The 26,725-nt window shown below is 42.4% G+C and overlaps 2 pseudogenes; one reads left to right on the forward strand and one right to left on the reverse strand.

Moving 5' to 3' along the window:
- Positions 1-8,638, forward strand: part of SAGE4P (sarcoma antigen 4, pseudogene) — a 34,840-nt pseudogene extending 26,202 nt beyond the window's left edge.
- SAGE3P (sarcoma antigen 3, pseudogene) lies at positions 12,619-13,927 on the reverse strand (annotated as a pseudogene).

The raw sequence follows: 26,725 nt of genomic DNA on the forward strand, positions 1-26,725 counted from the left end.
TCTTCCTGCCTGATCTAACGCGGTGTGAACCATGTTGTTCACGGGACTGGTGCACAAGACCTGAGATAGCTCATCAGGAGACCAAGGTTAAAAGCCTTGCAAAACCGTCATGTGGAGCTGAAATTGCTGTAAGCAAGAAACTAAGAAATCAGCATTTTAAACAAAATTGGACCAAAAGTTAAAGCTTAAAATATATTAATGACTGGCAGTGTTAAAGGGAGCAAGGCAGACAATAGCTAATGCTTCCAAATTCCCATTGAATTTACTAATGTGTATTGACTGTTGGGGCTGATATCCCCATTCTGTGGGCCAGTGAGTTTGTCCCTGGAGATGTGTTAGGAGCCAGGCCAGTCTTATAATGGCCCAGATCTGTCATATCCCCAAATTTTGGTATTTATGCAATGTCAACAAGGTTTAGTTAAGTTTTTGTTTGTTTGTTTGTTTGTTCTTGTTTTGAGACAGTGTTTCACTCTTGTAGCCTAGGCTGGAATGCAATGGCACAAACTCGGTGCACTGCAATGTCTACCTCCTGGGTTTAAGCAATTCTCCTGCCTCAGCCTCCCAGGTAGCTGGGATTACAGGCATGCGCCACCACGCTCGGCTAATTTTGTATTTTTAGTAAAGATGGGGTTTCACCATGTTGGTCAGGCTGGTGTCGAACTCCTGACCTCAGGTGACCCACTCGCCTTGGCCTCCCAAAGTGTTGGGATTACAGGTGTGAGCCAAAGCTCCCAGGCCTCAGTTAAGTTTAATAGACTAACAGTATGGTTAATTACTTCCCCAGCAGATAGGCCAGTCTCTCTAAAAGTCATTAGAGTGCAGCAGGCAAGTACCAAGAAATGAAGATGTTACTTATCTTCCAGATGGGCTTTATCTGGAATTGTGTTCTTGAATAGAAGTTTTAGAGCTCCTATGGGCTGGCAGGTGTAATTAGTAGCTTCCTCTGGTTCCTGTAAAGGTTTATTGCAAAGTTGAATTCTGATCATATGAGCCGGAGTTGCTATGTCTTGAAGCTTGACAGCCATTGGGGTGGTTGGTAGTACTTGCTAAGACCCTTCCATTTAGGAAGAAGCAGATCTGCCAGGGTGGGGGGCTTCCTTCCAAGTTTTTAATAGGACCCAGTCTCCAGGCAGGACTTGCGGGATGTTTATCATTTGTCCAGGTGAGGGCAGCACTGTATTGCTATATTCCTGGATAGCCTGCTGTGCCAGGCTTAGATTTTTTATATTTATTTATCTATTTATTTATTTATTTATTTATTTATTTATTTATTTATTTATCTGGATAGCAGAGTGTCGCTCTATCACCCAGGATAGAGTGCAGTGGTGCAATCTCGGCTCACTGCAATCTCCGCGTCTCAGATTCAAGAGATTCTCCTGCCTCAGCCACCTGAGTAGCTGTGATTACAAACCCACTACCTTGCCTGGCTCATTTTTGTATTTCGGGGGTTTTGCCATGTGGCCCAGGCCAGTTTCGATTTCCTGACCTCAAGTGATCTGCCCCCCGTGGTCTCCCAAAGTGATGACAGTACAGCCAGGAATCACCACGCCTGGTCCCTGGCTTAGATTTTGAATCTATTATATAGTAGACTGGGTTTCCAGTTTGATAAACAGGTCTAAGGTAAGGAAGGGTCTCCCAGAAGTCATCTCAAACGGACTAAGTTTTGTCTTTTCTTTGGGTGCCACTCGTATTCTCATGAGGGCTATAGGCAACAGAGTGTACCAAGACTCAGAAGTTTCCTGGCACAGTTTTGCCAGTGTCTGCCTTAAAGTTTGATTAGTCCTATTAACCTTGCTGGAGGATTGTGGCCTCCATGAGGAGTGGAGATGAAATTTAATTTCCAAAGCTTGGGCTATCTATTAGGTTATAGTTGCAGGAAAACAGGGTCTTTTGTCGCTTTGCAAGGAGCAGAGGAGGCCAAATCCTGGTATGATCACTTTTGGCAGTGCCTTGGCCACTTCTGTAACTTTCTCTGTTCTGGTGGGGAAAGCTTCTACCCATTCCAGAATGGTGTCTACAAAAACTAAAAGGTATTAAAAAACCTGAAAGGTGGGTATTTGGGTGCAGTGAATTTGCCAGTAGTCACCAGGATAGGTTCCTCGCCACTGGACTGAGGTTAATAAAGCAGGAGACCCTTGTTTTTTTGTTGTTGTTGTTTGCTTGTTTATTTTTCCAGAGACGGAGTTTCGCTTTATCGCCCAGGCTGGAGTGCAATGGCGCGATCTCGGCTCACTGCAATCCCCGCCTCCCTGGGTTCAAGCGATTCTCCTGCCTCAGCTTCCCGAGTAGCTGGGATTACAGGCACGTGCCATCATGCCCCGCTAACTTTTGTATTTTTAGTAGAGACAGAGTTTCGCCATGTTGGCCAGGCTGGTCTCAAACTCCTGACCTCGTGATCCTCCCTCCTCGGACTCCCAAAGTGTGGGGATTTCAGGCGTAAGCCACCGCACCTGGCCGTTGTTTTTTTGTTGTTCATTTTCCCCCAAGGTAATTTTGAGAGCAAAGTTCACAGGCCAGAGTGACCTTTTTTATTGTGGTTGCCAGGCCTTTACCTGTAAAGTCATGGTCCATCCAGGTGGTCATAGCATCCTGCCCATATGGATGGAATTATGTAAATTTTTGACAATTTATCGTGATGGGACTGAGGAAGCAAGAGCTTTTGGCCTACGAGCCACCAACCCTCAGGTGTTAGGCTCCCCTGATTTTCTTTAGCCCATGCTATTTCTTCCATAGTATAGGACGGATTATACCAAGAGAATGGGATGGGCATGGTGTCTCATGCCTGTTATCCAGCATTTTGGGCTGCCAAGGCAGGCAGACCAGTTGAGGCCAGGAGTTCGAGATCAGCCTGGATAACATGGCAAACCCCTTCTCTACTGAAAGTACAAAAATTAGCGGCATGATGGCATGTGTCTGTATTCCCAGCTACTAGTGTGGCTGAGGCAGGAGAATTGCTTGAGCCCAGGAGGGTGCAGTGAGTTGAAATCAGGCCACTGCACTTCAGCCTGGGTGACAGAGTGAGACTCAGTCTCAAAAAAATAAAAAATAAAATAAAATGAAGAGAATGGGCAGAGAGGAATAAGGCCAGCTGGGCTACAGCTTCCATAGTCGCCATCCTGTCTTCCCTGCCAGCCCTTGCATTGTCCGATGAGACTGAGGAGTTTCCTTTTTGATGTTTCTGATCCTTTTTCTTTTTTGATATTTTTGATCCTCTTGCTTAAGATCATGCACAGCCTCTAAAAGCTGCAGTATTTCTGTTCCATGTTCAATGGGGAATCCCTTGCATTTAAAGACCCCATTCTTTATAGATGGCAGCATATGTATGAAGGACAATGCAGGCATCCTTGGAGTCAATGTATATGTTAGTGTTTTTCCCTGATCTAGAGCCAGGGCCCTGGCCAGGACAATTTTTGTGGCAAGGACAATCTGCTTTTTGTGCTGAGGCACTAGGTGGCAGTGCCTGGGCCTTTGTTGTTTGGTGCACACTAACCACAGTGTATCCTGCCCTTCTTTTTCCATTTCCCATAAAACTACTGGCATCAGTGAACCTTTCATTATCAGGATTCTTGAAAGATGTATCTCTGAGATCTATTCTATCTAAATAGACCTGGTCTATGGTTTTAATACAGGAATGAGTTAGGTTCTCTGAGGAATTGACTGGCATGAGCAGAGCTGGATTGAGGGTGCCAGAAGTTTTTATAGTAACCTTGGGGAGTCCAGGAGGAGAGCCTGATGTTTGGTGAGTCTTCCTCTTGAGAGCCAATAGTGGCTCTTTATTTCTAAAACTCCCTGCACTTGACGCAGAATGAGGACCTCTAAAGTGTGTCTAAAAGTCAGCTTTAGGGCTTCCTCCACCAGAATGGCAGTGGCTGTGACTGCCCTAAGGCAACCAGGCCATCCACAGGCCACAAAGTCCATGTGCTTTAAATGTAGTCAGCTGGATGAGGTGGTTCTCCCAGTTTTTGGCGAGGACTCCCTGTTTCTCTGCCACATATAAGGTGCATAGATTTTCCAAGTCATGAATTTCCAGGGCAGGAGCCTCAACAAGGGCCTTTTTTATGTCTTGAAATGCCCTGGTTTGTTCTCTTTGCCATCGCAGGGCTCAGTGTCAGGCCCTTTAATGGCATCATATAAAGGATGAGCCATTAGTCCAAATCCCAGAATCCAAATTCTACAGAATGCAGACATTCCGAGAAATGTTAAGAGTTGTCTCCTGGTTTGGCGACCAGGCAACTCTGGTATGGCCTGTTTTCTTTCCCCTGAGAGCTTCCTTGTTCCAGGGGTTATAATGTCCCCTAAGTAAGTTACTCTCTGTTTGGTTAATTGTGCCCCCTTTTTTTTGAAACCTTATATCTGCTTGCTCCAAGCAAATTTAAGACTGTAATGGTATTCCTGTCAGGTGTTTCCTGGGTTGGATTACATATTCAGTTGTTACCTAAATACTGTAGGAGGCTGCCTTAACTAAGTTGTAATTCTCAAAGATCTTTGCCTGGGGCTAGTGCAAACAGGTGAGGGCTATCTTGAAAGCCCTGGAGCAATACTATTCATGGGCGTTTCCTATATTTGTCCATTCAAAGGCAAATAGAAACTGAAAGGACAAGTGCACTGGGATACAAACAGATGGCCTCTTTAAGGTCTAGTACGCTACAACATTGGCAATGTCTTGGAATTTGGTTAACAAGGTATAGGTATTAGCTACTAAGGGATGAAGAGGGTTCCTGCCTCGTTTATGATTCTCATGTCTTGTGCCATTGGATATTCTCCATTTTGTTTTATGACTAGCAGAATAGGAGTATTACAAGGTGATTGGCAGGACACTAGTAAGCCATGTTGTAAGAATTTAGAAATTAAGGGCTTCAATCTTTTTTTAGCTTCTAACTTTAGGGGATATTGGTTTTCCTTGGGGTACCTATTGGGGTCCTGTATTTTAATGACCATGGGTTCAGCCCAAAGGGCTCTTCTGAGTACCCTGTCATCCCAGACGGCAAGTTTTACTTGTTCTAAGATTGATATAGGGAGGTGATCTGTTGGCCCTGCAGTGAGGACCATTTGGGAGGGACTGGTGCCTTTCAGTGATTAGATGCCTTCCATGATATTTAATAAATCGCTCTCTAAAAGCAGGGTAGGACACTCAGGAATAAGCAACAAGAAGTGTTACTTAACTGATCTCTTTAGTGACATGTGAGTAAGGAAGTAAAATATTAAGAACGGGGTTTCCTATTGACCCCAGCTATGGTACAATTTTGAAGGTCACTGACCCAACTGAGAAGTTAATACAGAGTAGGAGTCCCCGGTATTGATTTTAAAAATCAGTATTCTTACCTACCATGTCATGGGTCAGCCAGGGTTCCAGATCGGTGACTGGAATGTCCTTTTCAATGGGGGCTGTCTGGATCCCTTAGCCTCCTCCGTCTTGAGTTAGTGCCATCTTGAAGGAGGATGTCCCCTTTCCCCTTCAGGGCTCAGGAAAATCCATTCCCCAGTGGCTATCCTGTTTACAGACTGGGCATGGCCCAGGGGCAGTTGGGTGCACCCTCTTTCCTGGTGCTCTGATTGTTTGCATTTAAAGCAGGCTCCTTGATTGTTTGTTGACCGGCTTCCAAGCTTCAAGGTTCCTGGGGGTGACTTGAGGTTCCAAGACACTACTGACAGAAACAGCTATCTTTTTAGACTGGGCTGTATCTCACCAGTTCTTGTGCTGGAGTCTGCCTTCCTCTTCAGCCAGATTCCTATTACGAAACACTCCAAAAGCCATTTCTAATAATTGAGGTATAGGTGTTTATGGCCCTTATTGTAATTTCTATAGTTTTCTCCTGATATCTGGAGTAGACTGGCCAATTAAGTTTTGTCCTGGTAACACTTGGCATTCAGCAGATGTAGGGTCTATGTTGGTATACTTTTGGAAGTATCCTTTAAGCTCCCCTGAAAGAAGGCAGGGTTTACATGTTTTCTCTGTGGGACTACTTTGACTTTCTCTTAAGAAACAGATTTTTTAACACATTGTCTGATCCCTGCCAGGAGGCATTGCACCATGTAGTCCATCCATATTCTTTATTCCTCCAGATAAAGGAGGAATTCCAATGTTGTAATTCCAATGTGGGTCCTGGGAGAGATCAGCAGTAGCTGCCACTTCATGGGTGGCAGGCTGGTCAGCTGCCCTGCTATCTATGTATCCCTGACTGGCTAGCCAGATTCTCTATTGTTCCTGTGGAGTACAGCAATAAAAAGGACAACTTGTATACCTTTCCAAGTTAAGTCAAAGGCCAAAGTTAGAGCCTTGCATGCGTTGGTAAATGCACTGAGTTCTTCTGAGAAGTATCTGCGGTTTTGCTTTTACTGGATTAGATCACTCATTAAGAATGGAACATGTATTCTAATGGTCCCTTCTCCATTTGGACTTCCCATAAAGGGAGCAGATTCTCTGGCCCTGGATGGTATGAAATCCCACTGCGAGTTATTCCAGCTAGGCTAGTCTGCAACGCACAAGGCGAAGGAGCATAAAGAGGAGCATAAACAGGAAGTGAAATGGGATTATATTCCACAGAAGACTCTGGTAGTGCAGGGGTGCTGGGGACTCAGAAGGAAGTGAGGGTCCCTGACAGCCCCTATCTGGAGCCATCTTTGTGTCATGGGGCCTGGGTTCCCTTCCCTTAATAAAAGAGGATCTTCTAATGCATCTGTGTGGCTTCCTTGCTTACTGGGTTTCAGCCCACAGGTGCCACATAGAGCTGGGTTTTCTTATAAGGCCACAAAAGCCTCCACATAAGGTACTTCAGGGCACTTTCCATGATTTGTACAGAAAAGATCTAGCTGTAGGATGGTAATAAAGTTCACATTTCCATTTTCTGGCCATTTTTCATTGTTAGCTGACTTTTTCCCAGGCTAAACAGTGTTACAAAAGAAGATAAGGGTTTTTTTTCTTTTTTAGCTCATCTCACCCAAATTATTCCAGCTTTTAAAATATACATCCCAGGGGTGTTTCATTGAGAGTATTGGAGATGGCTCCCGTGGTGCCAAGAGAATCCTGCAATGACAGACACATATACAGAAGACCAGGAGGTCATGGCTGTCCCTATTAGCCAAGCTGGACCACGATGCAATACAGGGCATCTGCTTGAATTCCCACAAACCGAGACCCTAGGAGGTCACGGGTGTTTGCCATGCACCATCCTAGGTCTCACCAGAACTGGATATCTACAGCCTTGACCAAGGTGGCCATCACTGCCAGCTGGGGGGCCCAGATGTCTCACTGACAAGACTTTCCCTACTTCACTGGTTTGCCATTCGTTATGCCCAATTATAATAACTGGAATGCCTGGATGCAATCCCTGGGACCAGGCATCTGCTTGACTGCACATCTTTTTTTCAGCATAGAAAGTTTGTTAAAGGACAATCTGAAGTTGTATGAAAATGAACAAAGTCTGGAGGGATAGGGATTCTTAATGTGGCCCTCAAAACTCTGTTTTGTAAACAGAAAATCAGATTAGAAAATAAATCACAATAGCCACTAAGTGGCAGTCAAGTATTGCCAGAGTGACAACAAAGGCGCTGAGTCTGAAATGTGGCCAGAAAGAAGTGAAACTAAGCAGCAAAATAGCCTGAATATTGAACATTGAGAGAAACCCACATGGCTAGTATAATTATGAATAGTACAGAAGTAGCAACAAAAAGGGCAGCTGAGAGAGACAGAGACAAGAGGACTGCTTGAGACCAGGAGTTCAAGATCAGCCTGGGCAAAATAGAAAGACCCCATCTCTACAAAAAATTTAAAAAATATAATAATAAAATAAAATAAAGGAAAATGGACAAAATGGGAAACAGTTATTTTGGCAGAGGAAAGAGCAACTACAAAGGGCCAGCAGTAGACATATGCCTGTCATGTCTGAGGAACGGCATAGAAGCTGGATTGCCTTCAGCACAGGGATGGATGGGAGGGGGACAGGTGGGTGACAATAAGTGAGGTTGGGAATACGAAGCAGGGGCCTCACCATGCAAAGCTCTTCCAACTGCCCCTTCTGTGATTGCATCCTTAGTCCTTCTTGGTTGAAAAGTCTAAGAATATGGTTTGGGTTTTTGTTTTTTGCCCTCCATCCACAATATCCACCCTGCCCATTGTGGAGTTGGGGCTGGCCGAGGAAGAAGCCCATGATTCCCCCAGTTCCTCCAGCAGCTACAGCCTGGCAGCTCTTGCTGCCAACTTGCTAGCTGATGCACAGGGGATGAGCCCTCAGCCTGTGTTCACAGAATTCCTTAAAGCCCTTTTCCCTAGACATGGCCCAGCTTCGTGGGACTGCACTGCTACTCAGTTTCCTTGAAAAGCACTCCTGGACCCTGTAAAACCTGGAGTCTACAGAACATTCCATTCCATATATTTTTCCAAATTCTACAACTTATAAAACCTTGCACATATTTTTCCATAGGAGGCCAAAACCTCCTCTTTATATCTCCTTTTCTTCCCTGTTTCTTAAAGAGATTGCCCAAGGGGCACCAACTGGATTAGATTCTTCCAGTAAGCCTGCTTGTTGGGCTCTAGGCTCTCCCCTTGGAAACTGCAACATCGAGGCTCCAGGGCCTGCTAGCAAGCTCTGGCCTTGTAGATGACAGATTCCGGTGTCCCAGGAGCACCAGTCCATCCTAAGTCCTTCCTTCACAGTTCAGAGAAAACCCACAGTGGCTAAGCTGAGTTCTGATGCAGGCACTAGTTCTTTGGGTTCAAACGTAGTTTTGTACAGCACACTACTGGCTGCATAGCAGACATTGGGAAAAGGCAAATATCTATATTCCCCTTTTTACATTTCCTTGGGCATGACTTTTACTAATCTCTCTCACAAGACTTGCAGAGCACTTGGAACTTTCTCAAATGGAAAGATCTCTGCATACATAATTTTACGTTCTGTAACAACTTATTCAGAAACTTCTTCATTCTGGTTCTGAGACTAATGCATTACATACGTTGGATATCCCACTTGTGAAAGTCAGCTTTAAGCAGAACATCAAGTATATTTGTGGACTGCCTACACATCAGTGGGCAAAACCTTGTGGGAACCATGCTTTTCCACCATCAGAGAAGACCTACTTTAAAGCAAAAGCTCTTTTGAGAATCATCAGGTTGTGTCTGGCATGGCAGCCTGGGCAGGGACATTATACCACAGGTTATTGCCATTCCCCCCTCACCAAGTCTCCTAAAAGCATCTGCTGGCTCTGGTGGCCCTGTCTGGTTGTCCTCAACCGTCAAGATTTGGATTTACCATTTACCGACAGTGCAACTTGGGTCATCACCTCATCTTCTTTGGCCTGAACTTCCTCACCAGTAAAATGGGGTGAGTAACTTCTACTCCATGGAATCCTCAGGAGGAGTGAAAGAGGTGTAACATTCCGAGTGTCTGTACCATGCCTGGGCATAGTTGGCACTCAGAAAATTTGTGGACTAACGATGAGGGCAAAGATGAATGATACTAGCAGGGCTCATCAGTGCTGCGTGACAACTACAGAGAGACAGACTCTGATGACCCCTAACCCCCAGGAGAAACTGAAAAGGTACAGAGATGTCCGCCATGGAGTGCAGCCTGTGGACAGGGCAACAGGCACTTTGGAGGCAGGAAGACAGCCCGATTTAAGATGCTTGACTTGAGCTTTAAGCAGAATCTCCACTGTTTAGTGTGAATTGATTTTTCTGAGTATCTCCCTTGGAAAAGAGACTACTGTTCTAGGTGTAGGTTTTCAAAAGTAAGGACATCCCTTTTTATACAGGCTCCCTGTTGCAGTAATATAAAGCATCTGCCAAGGGACACTTAGCCTTCTGTTACAGTCTCTTGAACCTGGTTCAGAGGTGCATCATACTTTAAGGTGAAAGGAGTTTTTGCCATGGACTTCTTCACTTGGCAACACAAAATCTTCACACTTTTCAGTTTGTGGATTTCAGTTTAGTAAGAAATCTAGCCACCCTTTTGTGTAGTAGACTCACATTGCTGTAGAGTTCTTAGAGCATGGGCAGTGGAATTAGAAACACCTGGGTTTAAATCTGGGTTCAGCTGCCAGCCAGTTGTCTGACCTTGGGCAAATGACTTAATCTCTCAAGGCTCAGTCTCCTCAGGGGTTAAGTAGAAACCATAGCTCCTATCTCAAAAGGTTGTGTGGGGATTGAAGGTGAGCATGAATGTAAGAAGTCATAGGCAATGCCCAGCATGTTTTCATTGCTCATGAGATGTCCTCCCTGGGTTGGTATGGCATATAGGAAATGGTTATGGCCAAGTACCTAATAGTCGTTGCAGCTCTTGGGCAGAGCGAAGTTCAGGATGGGTCATTTGCTGATTTTCAGTGATCTGTTCTGGGGTAAACAGAGTGAAGTCTAGCCCGGAAGGCCAGCAATAAGCTGAGTGAGGGTAATTTGGCCCTGGCAGGAGGGAGCTTCCTAGGAGTACTCAGAGCTGAGAGGCTGTGGCAGAGGCAGAAGCAGAAGATGGGAGCCAAGCCTTCCTTCTCCTGAGAGACCCTATAAGAGACGAGTGAGTGGAGAAAGTTCTGGAATCAGGGTCATGTGATGAGTAGAACAGGATGAGAGGCTGTGTGTCAGGAGGAGCCTAAAGCTGGAGTGTATGGTGAGGCTGCACTGGACAAGTGGAAAGTGCTTTGGGTTCAAGACAGAGCTGGAGATGAGGTGCTGCTGCAGGTATGCACTTACATGCCTATGACCTGGCACTAGTTACTTAACCTCTCTGTGTTTCCATATCCTCTTCTGTAAACAGAGGATGATAACAGCAGCTATTCTCTAGGATTGTGGTGAATAGTAAAAAAAAAAAAATCCGTAATTCATTTATTCAATATTGACTAAAAACTCTCTGAGTGCCAGGTACTTATCTAGGCATGAAAAAAAACAGTGAACTAAACTGTTCTCATGAATCTTACATTCCAGCTGAGGGCAAATGCACTAAAGAAAGAGAGCAACTATGGAATATGTTATTGGCCAAAAGCAGAAATCAGGTGGAGAGATGGAACATGAGTGGATGGTACTTTGAACCTGGTAGTCAAGGAAGGTCTCTCTGAGGAAGAGACATCTAACTTTAGTCAAGTGTAAAGGGCCTTGTGCATTTAGATTTGCTCTGAAGGGCTCAGCTTCTGCAGAGTTCCCTCTCCTCCAAGGTGAGAGAAAAAGGAGGGACACGGATTTTAGTAAGTCTTCCTTCAAAACCCTGTAAGACTAAAGTTTCCACCAGCCCCAAACTAGAGGGTACATGGGTGTGACCCATTAGTAGGCATAAAATTTACCTTAACAACTACTGATTTTTTTAATGCTGATAGGCAGAAACCTAGAGACTTTGTGTGCAAATAGTTCTTGAGGGTGGGGTATGAGGTGGAAGAAAAATTAATTTGATTCACACCAAACTTATTGCTATATAGTCATTAAGCCAAGGGTCATTAAGCCAAGGCTCTGGATTCAGTGTTTCTCTTTGAGAGGATAAGGATGGCTCTAGCAGTTTGCTTGGTTGGTTAGCTAAAATGAGAAACCGAATGTTGACTATCGTCAATTAAGGAGAAGTTCAAGGACTTCCTTGATATACTCCAAAGGCTTAAGGACATTGGAATGTGAGAGTGACTTTATCCTGGAAGAACTGCTCAGCCACGCTGGATGTCCAGATGATGTGACTTTCACCAAGGCTGCAAGAAATTACTTGGTAAGGGGAGCCCAAAAATCTGTGAGGAGATTGTGGTGGCTCTCTTCTTTAATCAGACATTACTGCAGGCTTGCCCTTGAGGAAAGATCATGCTGCACTGCCAAATAACAATGCTGTTAATCCTTGTCCCCACCTTCCCCAACAGACCTGTGGCCAATTATTAGTGTGGCAGGTCATGGTGGAGAAGTAAATAATCAGAATTCTCAGGAATTACTTGATAATGGCTCTGAACTGGTGCTAATTCCAGGATACCCAAAATGTCACTATGCTCTTCTAATAAGAGTTGTAGTTTCTGGTAATCATGTGATTTTACATCAGGTAATCCATGTGGTTTTACATCAGGTCCAACGTACAGTGGACTAAGTTGGTCCATGAATCCACCCTCTGGTTGTTTCCCAGTTTCAGAATGCATAGTTGGGATCATACTCAGTGACTGGCAGAATCCCCACATTGGTTCTATGACCCGCAAAGTGAGGGCTACTATGATGGAAAGGCCAATTAGAAGCCACTAGAACTGCCACAATTATAAAAACTATAATCCACAAGCAACACTACTTTCTTGGAGGGACTGCAATAATTGGTGGTAACACCAAGCATTTGAAGGACACAGGTTGGTGTGATTCTTCAGCCATCCCTTTCAACTGAGCTATTTGTCCTGTGCAGAAATATATGGATTTTTGGCCAGGCACAGTGGCTCATGCCTGTAAACCCACAACTTTGGGAAGCCGAGGCGGGAGGATCACTTGAGGTCAGGAGTTCGAGACCAGCCTGCAGTTTTCTAGAAATTATTTCATGAAGCAGGAGAGGGTATCAGGTGGCGATCTGAAAACACTCAAATTGAGCTCACGAAAGAAGGTACAACCAAACCACCTTCTTCCCTTGATGACACTATGCATGCATATGAAAATCAAGTAGGACAATCCAACTTATAAGCAAACATACACAGATCCCTGGTACTCATGGCTGGAATGCCACGTGCTGCCATGTTAATGTGCCCTGGTGGAAAAGCTAACAAGACGTTATTAAGTTATGGTTGGTCATTTTCCATCCTCTCGTCACAGACATTATCAGTGACGGTGGCATCTGGAAACCAAATGTAGAGGTGGAGCTGTGAAGTAAGTGCATTATTTCAACCCCACAGGTATATTCGTCTGATACTCAGCTTCTAAGAAATTATTGCACGAAGCAGGAGGACATGACAGGTGGCGATCTGAGACTCCTCAAATTGATCTCAAGAAAGATAATACAACAAAACTACCTTCTCCCCTTCATGACACTATGCACACATATGGAAACCAAGTAGGACAATCCAACTAAAAAGCAAACATACACAGATCTCTGGTATTCATGGCCAGAATACCAGCTCATGGTGCAGCAGTTGAGAAGACGTTATCTAGTTGGCATTGCCAATTTTCCATCTCCTCTTCGTGGACATCGTGAGTGATGGTAGCATCTGAAAACCAAGTGAAGAGGTCGAGCTGTGAGATAAGTGTATTATGGTAACCCCATAGGTATATCTCTCTAATGCTCAATTTCTAGGAAATTCTCTCATAAAGCAGGAGGATATATGAAGTGGTGATCTGAGACCCCTCAAATTGAGGCCAGGAAAGATAATACACCAAAACCACCTTCTTCCTCACCTGTCCTTCTTCCCTATGAATGCATATGGAAACCAAGTGGAACAGTACAAATAATAAATAAACATACACAGATCCCTGGTACTCATGGATGGAATACCAGTTGCTTCCATATTAATGAGCCCTGGTAGAACATTTGATAAGATGTTTTGAGGTGCTGGTTGGCCGTTTTCCATCTTCTCTTCATGGACATTGTGAGTGAAGGTAGCATCTAGAAACCAAATGAACAGGTTGGGCTGTGAGAAAAGTGCATTATGTCAACCTCACAGGTATATCCCTCTCATGCTCAGTTTCTAGGAAATTATCACATAAAGCAGGAGGAAATACCAGGTGATGATCAGAGACCACACAAATTGAGCTCGCGAAAGACAATACAATGAAATCACATTATTTATGACACTGCATGCATATGAAAACCAAGTAGGATAGTAGAACTAGAAAAGAAACATTAGGATAGTACAACTAGTAAACCAACATACGCCTATCCCTGGTACTCATGGGTGGAATACCACCTCCTGCCAAATTAACAAGCCCTGATGTAACAGTTGACAAGACATTATCAGGTGCTGGTTAGCCATTATTTATATTTTCTTCATGGACTTTGTGAGTGACTGCAGTATCTGGAAAGAAAATGAAGTGGTTGGGCTATGAGGTAATCGCATTATGTCAACCACACAGGCTTACCCTTCTGATGCTCAGTATCTAGGAAATTATCTCATAAAGAAGGAGGATACAACAAGTGTCAATCTGAGAACCCTAAAATTGAGGCCAGAAAAGGTAATACAACAAAACTGCCTTCTCTCATGACCCTATGCATGCATATGGAAACCAAGTAGGACAGTACAACAAGTGAACGAACTTACACTGATCCCTGGTACTCATGGATGAAACACCAGCTGCTGCCATATTAGTAAGTGCTGGTGGAACAGTTGCGATGACATTATCGGGTGCTGGTTGGCCATTTTTTGTCTTCTCTTCATGGACATTGTGAGTGACAGTAGCATCTGGAAACAAAATGAAGAGGTTAATTTTTAGTTAAGAACATTATGTGAAGCCCACAGGTATATCCCTTTTATGCTCAGTTTCTAGAAAACTATTTCATAAATCTGGAGAGGATATGTCAGGTGGTGATCTGAGAACACTAAAATTGAGCTCATGAAAGATAACAACGTGTCTCCCATGCATGACATGAGGCATGCATATGAAAATCAAGTAGGACAGTTCAAATTACAAGCAAACATACACTGATCCCTGGTACTCATGGCTGGAATACCAGCTGTTGCCAAATAACTAAGCCGTAGTGGAAGAGTTGACCTGACATTATTAGGTTGTGGTCGGTTATTTTCCATCCTCTCTTCACAGACATTGTGAGTGACAGTAGCATCTGGAAACCAAATGAAAAGGTTGAGCTGTGAGGTAAGTATATTACGTCAACCTTACAGGTATATCCCTCTGATGCTCAGGGTCTAGGAAATTATCCCATAAAGTAGGAGGATACACCAGTTGATGATCTGAGACACCTCAAATTGAGCTCACAAAAAAGAATACCACAAAACCACCTCCTTCCCTTTATGACACTATGAATTCATATGGAAATCAACTAGGACAGAACAACTAGTAAACAAAATACACTGATATCTGGTACTCATGCCCAGAATACCGACTGCTGCCAAATAAATAACCACTGGTCGAACAATTGACAGTACGTATTAGGTTGCAGTTTGTCATTTTCCATCTTCTATTCACAGACATTGTAAGTGACAGTAGAACCTGGAAACCAAATGAAGAGGTTGAGCTGTGAGGAAGCACATTATGTCAGTCCCACAGGTATATCCCTCTGGTGCTCAGCTTCTATTATATTATTGCAAAAAGCAGAAGGACATGACAGGAGGTGATCTCAGATGCATCAAATTGAGCTCAAGAAAGATTATACAACAAAACTTCCTTTCCTCTTCATGACAATATGCAGGCATATGGAAACCAAGCAGGACAATTCGACTTATAAGCGAACACACACAGATCATTGGTGCTCATGGCTGGAATATCAGCTCCTGTCATATTAAGACCTGTTGGAGCAGTTGAAAAAACGTTATCAGATTGGGGTTGGCCATCTTCCATCTTCTCTTCAGGGACGTAGTAAGTGATGGTAGCATCTGGAAACCAAATGAAGAGGCTGAGCTGTGAGGTAAGTGTATTATGGTAACCCCACAGGTATATCTCTCTGATACTCAGTTTCTAGGAAATTATGTCATAAAGCGGGAGCATAGAGCAGGTTGCCATCTGAGATCCCTGAAATTGACACCAGGAAATATACAACAAAACCACCTCCCACCCTTTTTGACACTATGCATGCATATGGAAACCAAGTAGGATGGTAATACTAATAAGCAAACTTATTTGTACACGGATCCCTGGTACTCATGGATGAAATATCAGTGGCTGTCATATTAATAAGCTCTGGTGGAAGAGTCAACAACACGTTATCAGGTGCTGGTTGGCCATTTTCTATCTTCTGTTCATAGACATTGTGAGTGACGGTAGCATCTGGAAACCAAAGGAAGAGGTTGAGCTGTGAGGTAAGTGCACTATGCCAACTCACAAGTATATCCCTCTGATGCTCAGTTTCTATGAAATTGTTTCATAAAGCAGGAGGATATATCACATGGTGATCTGAGATGCCTTAGATTTAGGCCAGAAATGATAATACAACAAAACCACCTTACTCCCTTCATGGCACTATGCATGCATATGAAAACCAAGTAGGACAGTACAACTTATAAGCAAACATACAAAGATCTCTGGTACTCATGGCCGGAATATCAGCCGCTGCCATATTAATAAGTGCTGTCAGACCAGTTGACAAGTCGTGATCAGTTGGGGTTGGCCATTTTCCATTCTCTCTTTGTGGACATTGTGAGTGACGGTAGCATCTGGAAACCAAATAAAGAATTTGAGCTGTGAGGTAAGTGCATTATGTCAATGCCATAGGTATGTCCTTCTCATGTTCAGTTTCTAGGAAATCATCCCATAAAGCAGGAGGATATATCAAGTGGTGGTCTGAGATCCCTCAAATTTAGGCCAGAAAAGATAATACAATAAAACCACCTTCTTCCCTGCATTACACTGCATGCGTATGGAAACCATGTAGGACAGTACAGCTGGTGAACAAACATACACTGATAAATGGTACTCATGGATGGAATACCAGCTGCTGCCATATGACGAACCTGTGGTGGAATAGTTGACAAGACGTTATCAGTTTGGGGTTGGCTGTTTTCCATCCTCTCTTCACCAACATTGTGAGTGATGGTAGCATCTGGAAACCAAAGAAGGAGGTTGAGCCGTGAGGTAAGTGCATTATGTCAACCCCACTTGTATATCCCACTGATGCTCAGTTTCTAGGAAACTATCCCATAAAGCAGGAGAATACATCAAATAATGATCTACATCCCCTCAAATTGAGGCCGGGAAAGATAATTCAACAAAACCATCTTTTTCCCCTCATGACACTACGGATGCATATGGAAACTGAGGAGGACAGTACAACTAATAAATAAACATACATAGATGCCTGGTACTCATCAATGGAATACCAGCTCCTGCCATATTAATAAGCCCTGATAGAACATGTGACAAGATGTTATGTGGTTGTGTTTGGCCATTCTCCATCTGCTCTTCATGGACATTGGGATTGACGGTAGCATCGGGAAACCAATTGAAGAAGTTGAGCTGTGAGGTAAGTGCATGATGTCAACCCCACAGGTAAAGCCCTCTGATGCTCAGTTTCTAGCAAATCATATAAGAAAGCAGGGGAGGATATGCCAGGTGGCTATTTGATGCCCCTCAAATTGAGGCTAGGAAAAAATATACAACAAACCATCTTCTACCATTCATGAAAATATGCCTGCTTATGGAAACTAAGTAAGACAGTACAACTAATAAGCAGACATACACAGATCCCTGGTACTCGTGGATGAAACTCCAGTTGCTGCCATATCACCAAGCTGTGGTGGAGCAGTTGACAAGATGTTATCAGTTTGGGGTTGGCCGTTTTCCATCCTCTGTTCAAAGGAAGAGGTTGAGCTGTGAGGTAAGTGCATTATGACAACGCCACTGCTATATCCCACTGATACTCAGTTTCTAGGAAATTATCCCATAAAACTGAAGAATATGCCAGGTGGCCATCTGAGCCCCCTCAAATTGAGCTCACAATAGATAATACAACAAAAGCACCTTTTCCCCTTCATTACGGCATGCATGCATATGGAAACCAAGTAGGACAGTACAACTAATAAACATACACAGATCCCTGGTACTCATGGATGACATACTAGCTTCTGGCCTATTAAATAGTCCTGGTGGAACAGTTGACAAGATGTTGTCAGGTTGTGTTTGGCCATTTTCCATCTTCTCTTAATGGACATTGTGAGTAACACTAGCATCTGGAAACCAAGTAAAGAGGTTGAGCTGCAAGATAGGTGTATTTTTTCCCACCCTCCCCCCAGAGGGACAGCTATGTATGAATCAGTTTCTAGGGAATTATTTATATCATGAAACAGAAGGATATACCGTGTGGAAATCCCAGATCTTGCAATCAGAGATCAGGTGAGATAATAAAATAAAACTACCTTTTTACCTCTTGGCATAATGAATACATGCAGTAAACAAGTACGACAGCAGAATAAACATTCACAGGTTTCTTGTACTCATCATTTTGTATCATCTCGCTGCCCTTTACAATTCTCACTTGATATTATTTTTATAGTTCACCTATAAATGCCATGCTGTACACAGCAGGAAGCCAGACTAAGTGAGCCCTCCTTAACCTGCTTCCTATCTATCTCAAATATTCTGAGAAAATAGAGGTGGCTATTAGAACCGAGCACTCTATCTCCACTCTATCATCAAACATCCCTGTTTTTATATGATTCTACAGATCCTTCCCTTTTGTCTAGAAAAAAGTGACTTTATTTTCACTCCGTGTCTGACACCTCTTTCATTTATTCATCATCTGTGGCAGCCTGCATGCCAGAAGCTGGGGATCAGCAGTAAATAGCCTATATAGCAGCGTTCCCTGCCCTTGTGGAGCCCAGCCAGTATCATTCATCTTTGCCCTCATCATTAGCCCACAAATTTTCTGAGTGCCAACTATGCCCAGGCATGGTACAGACACTTGGAATGTCTCATCTCTTTTACTACTGCTGAGGAACCTGTGCAGTAGAAATTCCCCACCCCACCTTACTGGTGAGGAAGTGCAGGCCAGAGAAGATGAGGTGATGACCTGTGTCCCACTGTCAGTAAATGGTAAAGCCAAATCTTGATGGTTGAGGACAAACAGACAGGGCCACCAGAGCCAGCCGATGGTTTTAGGAGCCTTGGTGAGGGGGGATGACACTAACCTGTGTTCTAATCTCCCTGTCCCTGCTGCCATACCAAACACAATCTGATGATTCTCAAAAAAGCTTTTGCTTTAAAGTAGGTCTCCTCTGAAGGTGGAAAAGCATGGTTGCCACATTGCCCACAGATGTGTAGCATGTCCACAAATATACTTGATGTTCTGCTTAAAGGTGGGATATCCAATGTATGTAATACATTAGTCTCAGAACCAGAATGAAGAAGTTTCTGAACAAGTTACAGAACATAAAATTATATATACAGAGATCTTTGTATTTGAGAAAGTTCCAATTGCTCTGCAAGACCTGTGAGGGAGAATAGTAAATGTGATGCCCTATGAAATGTAAAAAGGGGTACATAGATATTTGCATTTTCACAATGTCTTCTACGTAGCCAGCAGTGGGCTGTACTAACCTATGTTTGAACCCAAAGGGGCAGCGCCTACATCAGAAGTCAGCATAGCCACTGTGGGTTTTTTCTGAACTGGGAAGGAAAGATTTAGGATGGATCGGTGCCCTGGGGACACCAGAATCTGTCATCTACAATGCCAGAGTGTGCTAGCAGGTCCTAGGGCCTCAACATTGTGTTCCCTAAGTGGACAGCTGAGAGCCCAACAAGCAGGCTTACTGGAAGAGTCCAATCCAGGTGGTTCCCCCTGGCCAATCTCTTTAAGAAAGAGGGAAGAAAAAGAGATACAAAGAGCAGATTTGGGTCTCTTATGGAATAATATTTGCAAGGTTATGTAAATTCCAGAATTTAGAAAAATACATGAAAGTTTTGGTAGACTCCAGATTTTACAAGTTCCAGAAGTGCTGGTCAAGGAAACTGAGCAGAAGTGCAGTCCCACAAAGCTGGGACAAGTCTAGGGAAAAGGGCTTTAGGGAATGCTGTGAACACAGGCTGAGGGCTCATCCCCTGTACATCAGCTAGCAGGTTGGCAGCAAGACCAATCCCAGGCTGTGGCTGCTGGAGGAACAGGAGAAATCATGGGTTTCTGCCTTGGCCAGCCCCAACTCCACGATGAGCAGGGTGGATATTGTGGATGGAGGCCCAAAAAACAAAAACAAAAACCCAAATCATAATCTTAGACCTTTCAGCCAAGAAGGACTGATGATGCAATCACAGAAGGGATAGTTGAAAGAGCTTTGCATGGTGAGGACCCTGCTTCATATTCCTAACCACGCTTGGTGCCACCTACCTGCCCCTGTCTTGTCCATCCCTGTGCTGAAGCCACTCCACCTCTTTGATGTTCCTCAAACATGACAGGCATGTGTTTGCTGCTGGGCCTTAGTAGTTGTTCTTTCCTCTGCCCAAATCACTGTTTCTCATTTTGTCCATTTTTCTTTATTTTTTAAAAAATTTTTTGTAGAGAAGTGGTCTTGCTATGTTGCTTAGTCTGGTCTTGAACTCCTCGTCTCAAGCAGTCCACCTGCCATGGGCTCCCAAAGTGCTGGGATTACAGGCGTGAGCCGCTGTGCCTGGTCATCTATTCTATCTCTTTAAATATCACTTCCTCAGAGAGACCTTTTTGTCATACCATCTGAAGTAAGACCCTCAGTGATTTCAGCCCCTTGTTTTCATCGTAGCACTACAACTTGCAGACTATCTATCCGTGTCGTGGTTCAGTGTCTCATTTGTGGGCAGGCATTGCTACCTGACTACCTTAGCATTGCTACCTGACTACTTACTATCTATTCCCCTTTCTCCCTCTCTATTGGAACCCTGATTTTGTTTTGGGCAGACTTTTAAAAAATATTTTCCATCTCAGACTCCTTTGCGGCAAGGGTGGTCCTCTGAACCCAGTTGTTGAAAGTGCGATGTCAGCTGAGATGGTGTGGGAAAACCTCTGCTTTCAGAGCCACCCCTACCTTCTTCCACTTCTCTCCTTTTTCTATTCCAGGAAGAGTCACTCACGATGCTGAATGTGGGGAGCCCTAATCCCCCGCCCTTACTTAGTGCTATGTGGAGTCACACTGGAGCCCAAGGCATGGGGAAAATGTGCACCTTGATAAAAATAATTTCATATATTTATAAACAATTAGTGTTTCCAGAACATTAAAGTTGTCACAAAGATATTGAAAATTTGGAAAGTAGGTGAACAAACCTTACAATATTATTTTATTTATTTTTTTATTATTTACTCTCTCTCTCCATATATATATATATATATCCATATATATATCTCCATATATATATCCATATATATATCTCCATATATATATATCCATATATATATCTCCATATATATATATCCATATATATATCTCCATATATATATATCCATATATATATCTCCATATATATATATCCATATATATATCTCCATATATATATCTCCATATATATATCTCCATATATATATCTCCATATATATATCTCCATATATATATCTCCATATATATATATCCATATATATATCTCCATATATATATATCCATATATATATCTCCATATATATATATCCATATATATATCTCCATATATATATATCCATATATATATCTCCATATATATATATCCATATATATATATCCATATATATATCTCCATATATATATATCCATATATATATATCCATATATATATATCCATATATATATATATATCCATATATATATATATATCCATATATATATCTCCATATATATATCTCCATATATATATCTCCATATATATATCTCCATATATATATATCTCCATATATATCTCCATATATATATCTCCATATATATATCCATATATATATCTCCATATATATAGCTCTCTCCATATATATATCTGTATATATATATACCTCCATATATATATCTGCATATATATATCTCTCTCCATATATATATGTATATATGGAGAGAGATATATATCTATATCTCTGTGTGTGTATATATATATATATATATATATATATCCATATATATATACACTCTGTCAGCCAGGCTGGAGTGTGGTAGCACAATACAGCTCATTGCAGCCTCAACCTCACAGGTTCAAACAATCCTCCTACCTCAGCCTCCCAAGTAGCTGAGATTACAGGCCCACACCACCATGCATGGCTACTTTTTGTATATTTTGTAGAGACGGGTTTTGCCATGTTGCCCAGGCTGGTCTTGAACTCCTGGGCTCAAGGAATCCACCTGCCTCGGCCTCTCATAGTGCTGAGATTATAAGCGTGAGACACTCAGCCCACCTGCAATATTATTTTAAATTGAAATATTTTATTTAAGCTCCAAATAGAATTTATTGACATCTCACTTTCTGGCTCTAATGGAAGCAAGCTCATATTTTGAAAATATAGTACTTTTTAATCTCATTTTCAATTAGAAGAATTGCCATGTGTGTCAATTTCTGTTGACAAAGTGATAATCTGAAGTAATTTTTTTTCAACTTCAGCTTACTGAAAGTTCTTCTGCAGGATGCCACTGTGACCTGGTATTGTTCAATAAAAATCTTAAGGCTAAAGTTGGATAAGACAGTGCAAAGGGAGATGAGTGACTCAGTTTTACAAGATCCAAACATGATGCTGATGTTTTTCAAAGTATTGATACTGTGTTCTGCTTCAAACTAGTTATTGCAGATGAAAATCTACAAGACATATCAACCGAATATTTATAAGTTACGTCAGTGGTTTCTTTCATAGATCAGATGTACTCATAAGAAGTTATATTTCTCCAACTAAAAGATTCCAAACACTTTGTTTACTTTGTCATATCTCCATTATTAATACGAAATTAGGGTAATTATAAATGTTTTACTTTCTATCTGAATTGTACTTTTCCCAAAATATTTTATATTGTTATCTAGTGATTTGAACATTTCTAATTTCTCTACTTTTCTGTTCCTTACATTTTCAAATTAAGGAAATGCATTCATTTATCTTGTTAAACTTTTACCTCCATCAAACATACTTTCAAAGATGCTTTATTCCACTTGCTGTAAGCAAAGGTAGCTTTGCTTTTCTGTATGTATACTTATGGGATTTTTTTTTGAGACAGGGTCTTGCTCTGTTGCCCAGACTGGAGTGCAGAGGCACTATCATGGCCCACTGCAGCCTTGACCTCTTGGGCTCCAGTGATCCTCCCATCTCAGTCTCTCTATTAGCTGGGACTACATGTGTGCACCGGCTAATCTTTATATATTTTTTAGAGACAGTGTTTCACCATGTCGTCCAGGCTGGTATGGAACTCCTGGGCTCAAGTGGTCAACCCACTTCACCCCCTCAAAGTGCTCGGATTACAGGCATGAGCCATGGCACCTGGCCAAGATATGTTCTTTTTTAAAAAATTATAGAGTTTTATTAACTTTTTCTACTTGGTAGAAAATATTATTAAATCAAAAACTTACACAAAAGTTTGTAATCTACATGTGACAAGACACTTGGTGCTTGGCATAATGTTTTATGTCTTTTCATATTATGTGTTTTAATATTTGATAACCATCTTTAATTAGTTTCTAGTGTCTCGATTGCATGTTATCTTGATGTCCAGTATGTTCCATATAAATTATACTTTCCAGATATATTTTGATGTATTATTTCAAACAGACACAAGAACTTCCCTATACTCACTGAAATCATGCGAAAAATGAGCCCAGTGAGTCTTGTGTTTGGCATAATTACTTTTGCATAAATTCTGGCAAGTATGTACCCTTGTATACACCTGCCATAGATGCTCTGTTATATCCCTGGCCTTCAGTACTTTTATGCCCATATTGCCTTCTAATTTGTTGAACATTTTGTAAACGAGACTCTATCCAGCTTTCTTCTTTTAATTTCAATGAAGTTAAAAAAAACCTTTGTTCTATTGTTATAACGTTATTGTTAGTGCAAATATACTTAATCATCTGAAACATTTATTCAGAATTGATCACATCTGTGGTACAACTGAATAGTGAGAATACACGGTTTGCTTGTTTGGTTCTCAAAAGATTTAACATGATTTCCCAGAAGCATTAAATATTTGTTTTGAATTTTTAAAACGAATAAGACCCATGATGGTCTATGGTTAGCTATAACATTATAAACACCTGTAAGTTCACCTAAATTTAGAAATATTTAAGCATTTGGACTTTCAATAATTTCTTGTGATCTTTTATGAGGTAAATTCTTTTATATACAAAATGTATTGATATCTAATCACACTGAGGCAGGATAGGAAGTCAAGGAAGTGACCATGTCCTTGGGACAGAGCAATCATGGTGACCATACAATCAACACCAATAAGGCTCAGCATTCCCATTGTACTTAAGCTCATTCAAGCATAGCTATCTTCATTCGGGAATTTCCTCTGTAGACAGCATGCGTACTTTGAGTTTACCTGTCCTCACACTGACCCTTTGTTCTTTATAATAGTCGAAAACACATCCCTGGGCGGAGATTTAAGATACTAATGAGACATGTGATGCATGAACAAGCATGGACAGCTACTGCAAATATGCACCCAGAGGACCACCCTGAACATGCTTGCTAGCTACACTTTTTCCCACCTCCTTATGAATATTCATATAAGACTCCCATAAAGGGAGTTTCCCCAGTAATAATCAGTGCTGTCTCGTGCTTTCAAACACTCCACCCTAAATTCTCTCTCTGTCTCAGGGTATACTCTCTATTCTGCACTTAGATTTGAAAATATTCTTTTTCCTTTGCAAAAAAAATTGCTCTGTGCTGCATCTCCTTTGCTGTGTGTCTCTTGCTTAAATTGTTAAACTAGGAAAACAAGAACCGAGGTCTCACAGCAGCTGTCAACATTTCTGGTGCCGTGACACAGATAGAAGTTTGTCTGCTTCATTGACTTCAGTTTCCCTGCACCCGTGATGTGTCCTATGGCAGTCCCAAACTACCTGGTTGAGTATGACTGCTTTTTCTAGGGCTTTTTCCTTGAAGTTGTGGGGAAAACGTTTTTAAGTCACCTATATTCTTTATGTGAATATATGTGCTGCTCTACTTTTGGCTGCGACTTCTGCACTATTCATAATTATACTAACCATGCGGGTTGCCCTCAATATTCAATATTCAGGCTATTTTGCTGCTTAGTGTCACATGTTTCTGGCCACATTTCAGACTCAGCACGTTTGTTGTCCCTCTGGCAATACTTGACTGCCACTTTGTGGCTATTGTGATTTATATTCTAATCTGATTTTCTACTGACAAAGCTTTCTGTTTTGAGGGGCACATTAAGAGTCCCTATCCTGCCAGGCTTTATGCATTTTCATACTCCTTCAGATTGTCCTTCCACAAACTTTCTATGCTGAAAAAAAATATGTGCAGTTATGTAGATGCCTGGTACCAGGGATTGCATCCAGGCATTTTTGGTATTATAACTACTGGAATGCCTGGATTGCATCCAGGCATTCTTGGTATTATAAACGGCAAACCAGTGAGGTAGGGAACGTCTTGTCAGAGAGACACCTGGGCCCCCCAGCCAGCAGCAGGGGCTGCCTTGGTTGAGCCTGGAGATGTCCAGTGCTGGTGAGACCTAGGATGGTGCATAGCAAACTCTGGTGACATCCTAGGGCCTCGGTCTCATGGGGATTCAAGCAAATACCCTGTACCACTTCATGGTCTAGCTCGGCTCATGGGGACACCAACAACCTCCTGGACTTTGGTATATGTGTCCATCATTGCAGGATTCTCTTGGCACCATTGGACTCATCTCCTCTACTCTCACTGAAACACCCATGGGATTTATATTTTAAAAACTGGCATATCATTTGGTTAGATGAGCTAAAAAAGGAAAAAAAAACCTCATCTTCTTTTGTCACACTGTTTGCCCTGGGTACAATTAAGCAAACAATGAAAAATGGCCACAGAATGGAAATGTGAACTTTAACACCACAGATCTTTTCTGTACAAATCAGGGTAAGTGGTCTCAAGCACCCTGTGTGCAGGCCTTTATGGCCTTACAACAGAACCCAGCTCTATGCAGCACCTGTGGGCTAAAATCCAGTATGAAAGAAATCCACGCAGAAGCATTAGAATATTTTCTTTCATTAAGGGGAAAGGACCCCAGGACCCACAGTCCAACACCAGTTCCACATAGGGGCTCTCAGGGACTCACACCTCCTTCCGAGTCCAGGGCACCCCCCACACTATCAGAGTCTTCTGGAGAATCTAATCCCATTTCAACTCCTGCTTATGCTCCTCTTTATCCTTCTTGCTTTGTACACTAGGGACTAGCCCAGCTGGAATAACTCGCAGTGGGACTTCATAGCAACCAGGGCCAGTAAAACTGCTCCCTTTAGGGGAAGTCCAAATGGAGAAGGGACCATTAGAGTACATGTTCCATTCCCAATAAATGATCTAATCCAGTGCAAGCAAAACCTCAGACTGTTCTCAGAGGAAGCCAGTGCATTTACCGACACATTCCAGGCTCTAACTTTGGCCTTCGACTTAACTTGGAAAGGTATACAAGTTGTCCTTTTTCTTGCTGTACTCCACAGGAACAACAAAGAATCTGGTTAGCCAGTCAGAGATACATAGATAGCAAGGAAGCTGACCAGCCTGCCACCCATGAAGTGGCAGCTATTGCTGATCTCTCCCTGGACCTACATTGGAGTTACAACAGGTCTGGAGGAATAAAGAAAAGGGATGGACTACATGGTCCAATGCCTCCTGGCAGAAATCAGACAATGTATTAAAAATCCTGTTAACTAAGAGAAAGTCAAAGTAGTCATACAGGGAAAAGATGTAAACCCTGCTTTCTTTCAGGGGTGCTTAATGGAGGCCTTCCAAAAGTACACCAACATAGACCCTACATCTGCTAAAGGCCAAGTGTCACCAGGACAAAACTTTATTAGCCAGTCTACCCCAGACATCAGGAGAAAACCACAGAAATTACAATTAGGGCCACAAACACCTGTCCCTCAATTTTTAGAAATGGCTTTTGGAGTATTTCATAATAGGAATCTGGCTGAGGAGGAAGGCAGAGTCCAGATCAAGAACTGGTGAGATAAGGCCCAGGATAAAATGACAGCTGTCTCTGACAATAGTGTCCTGCCACCTTAAAGTCACCCCCAGGAACCTTGAAG

Source organism: Homo sapiens, chromosome X, assembly GCF_000001405.40.
Source record: "Homo sapiens chromosome X, GRCh38.p14 Primary Assembly".
In the NCBI taxonomy this organism is placed as follows: Eukaryota; Metazoa; Chordata; class Mammalia; order Primates; family Hominidae; genus Homo; species Homo sapiens.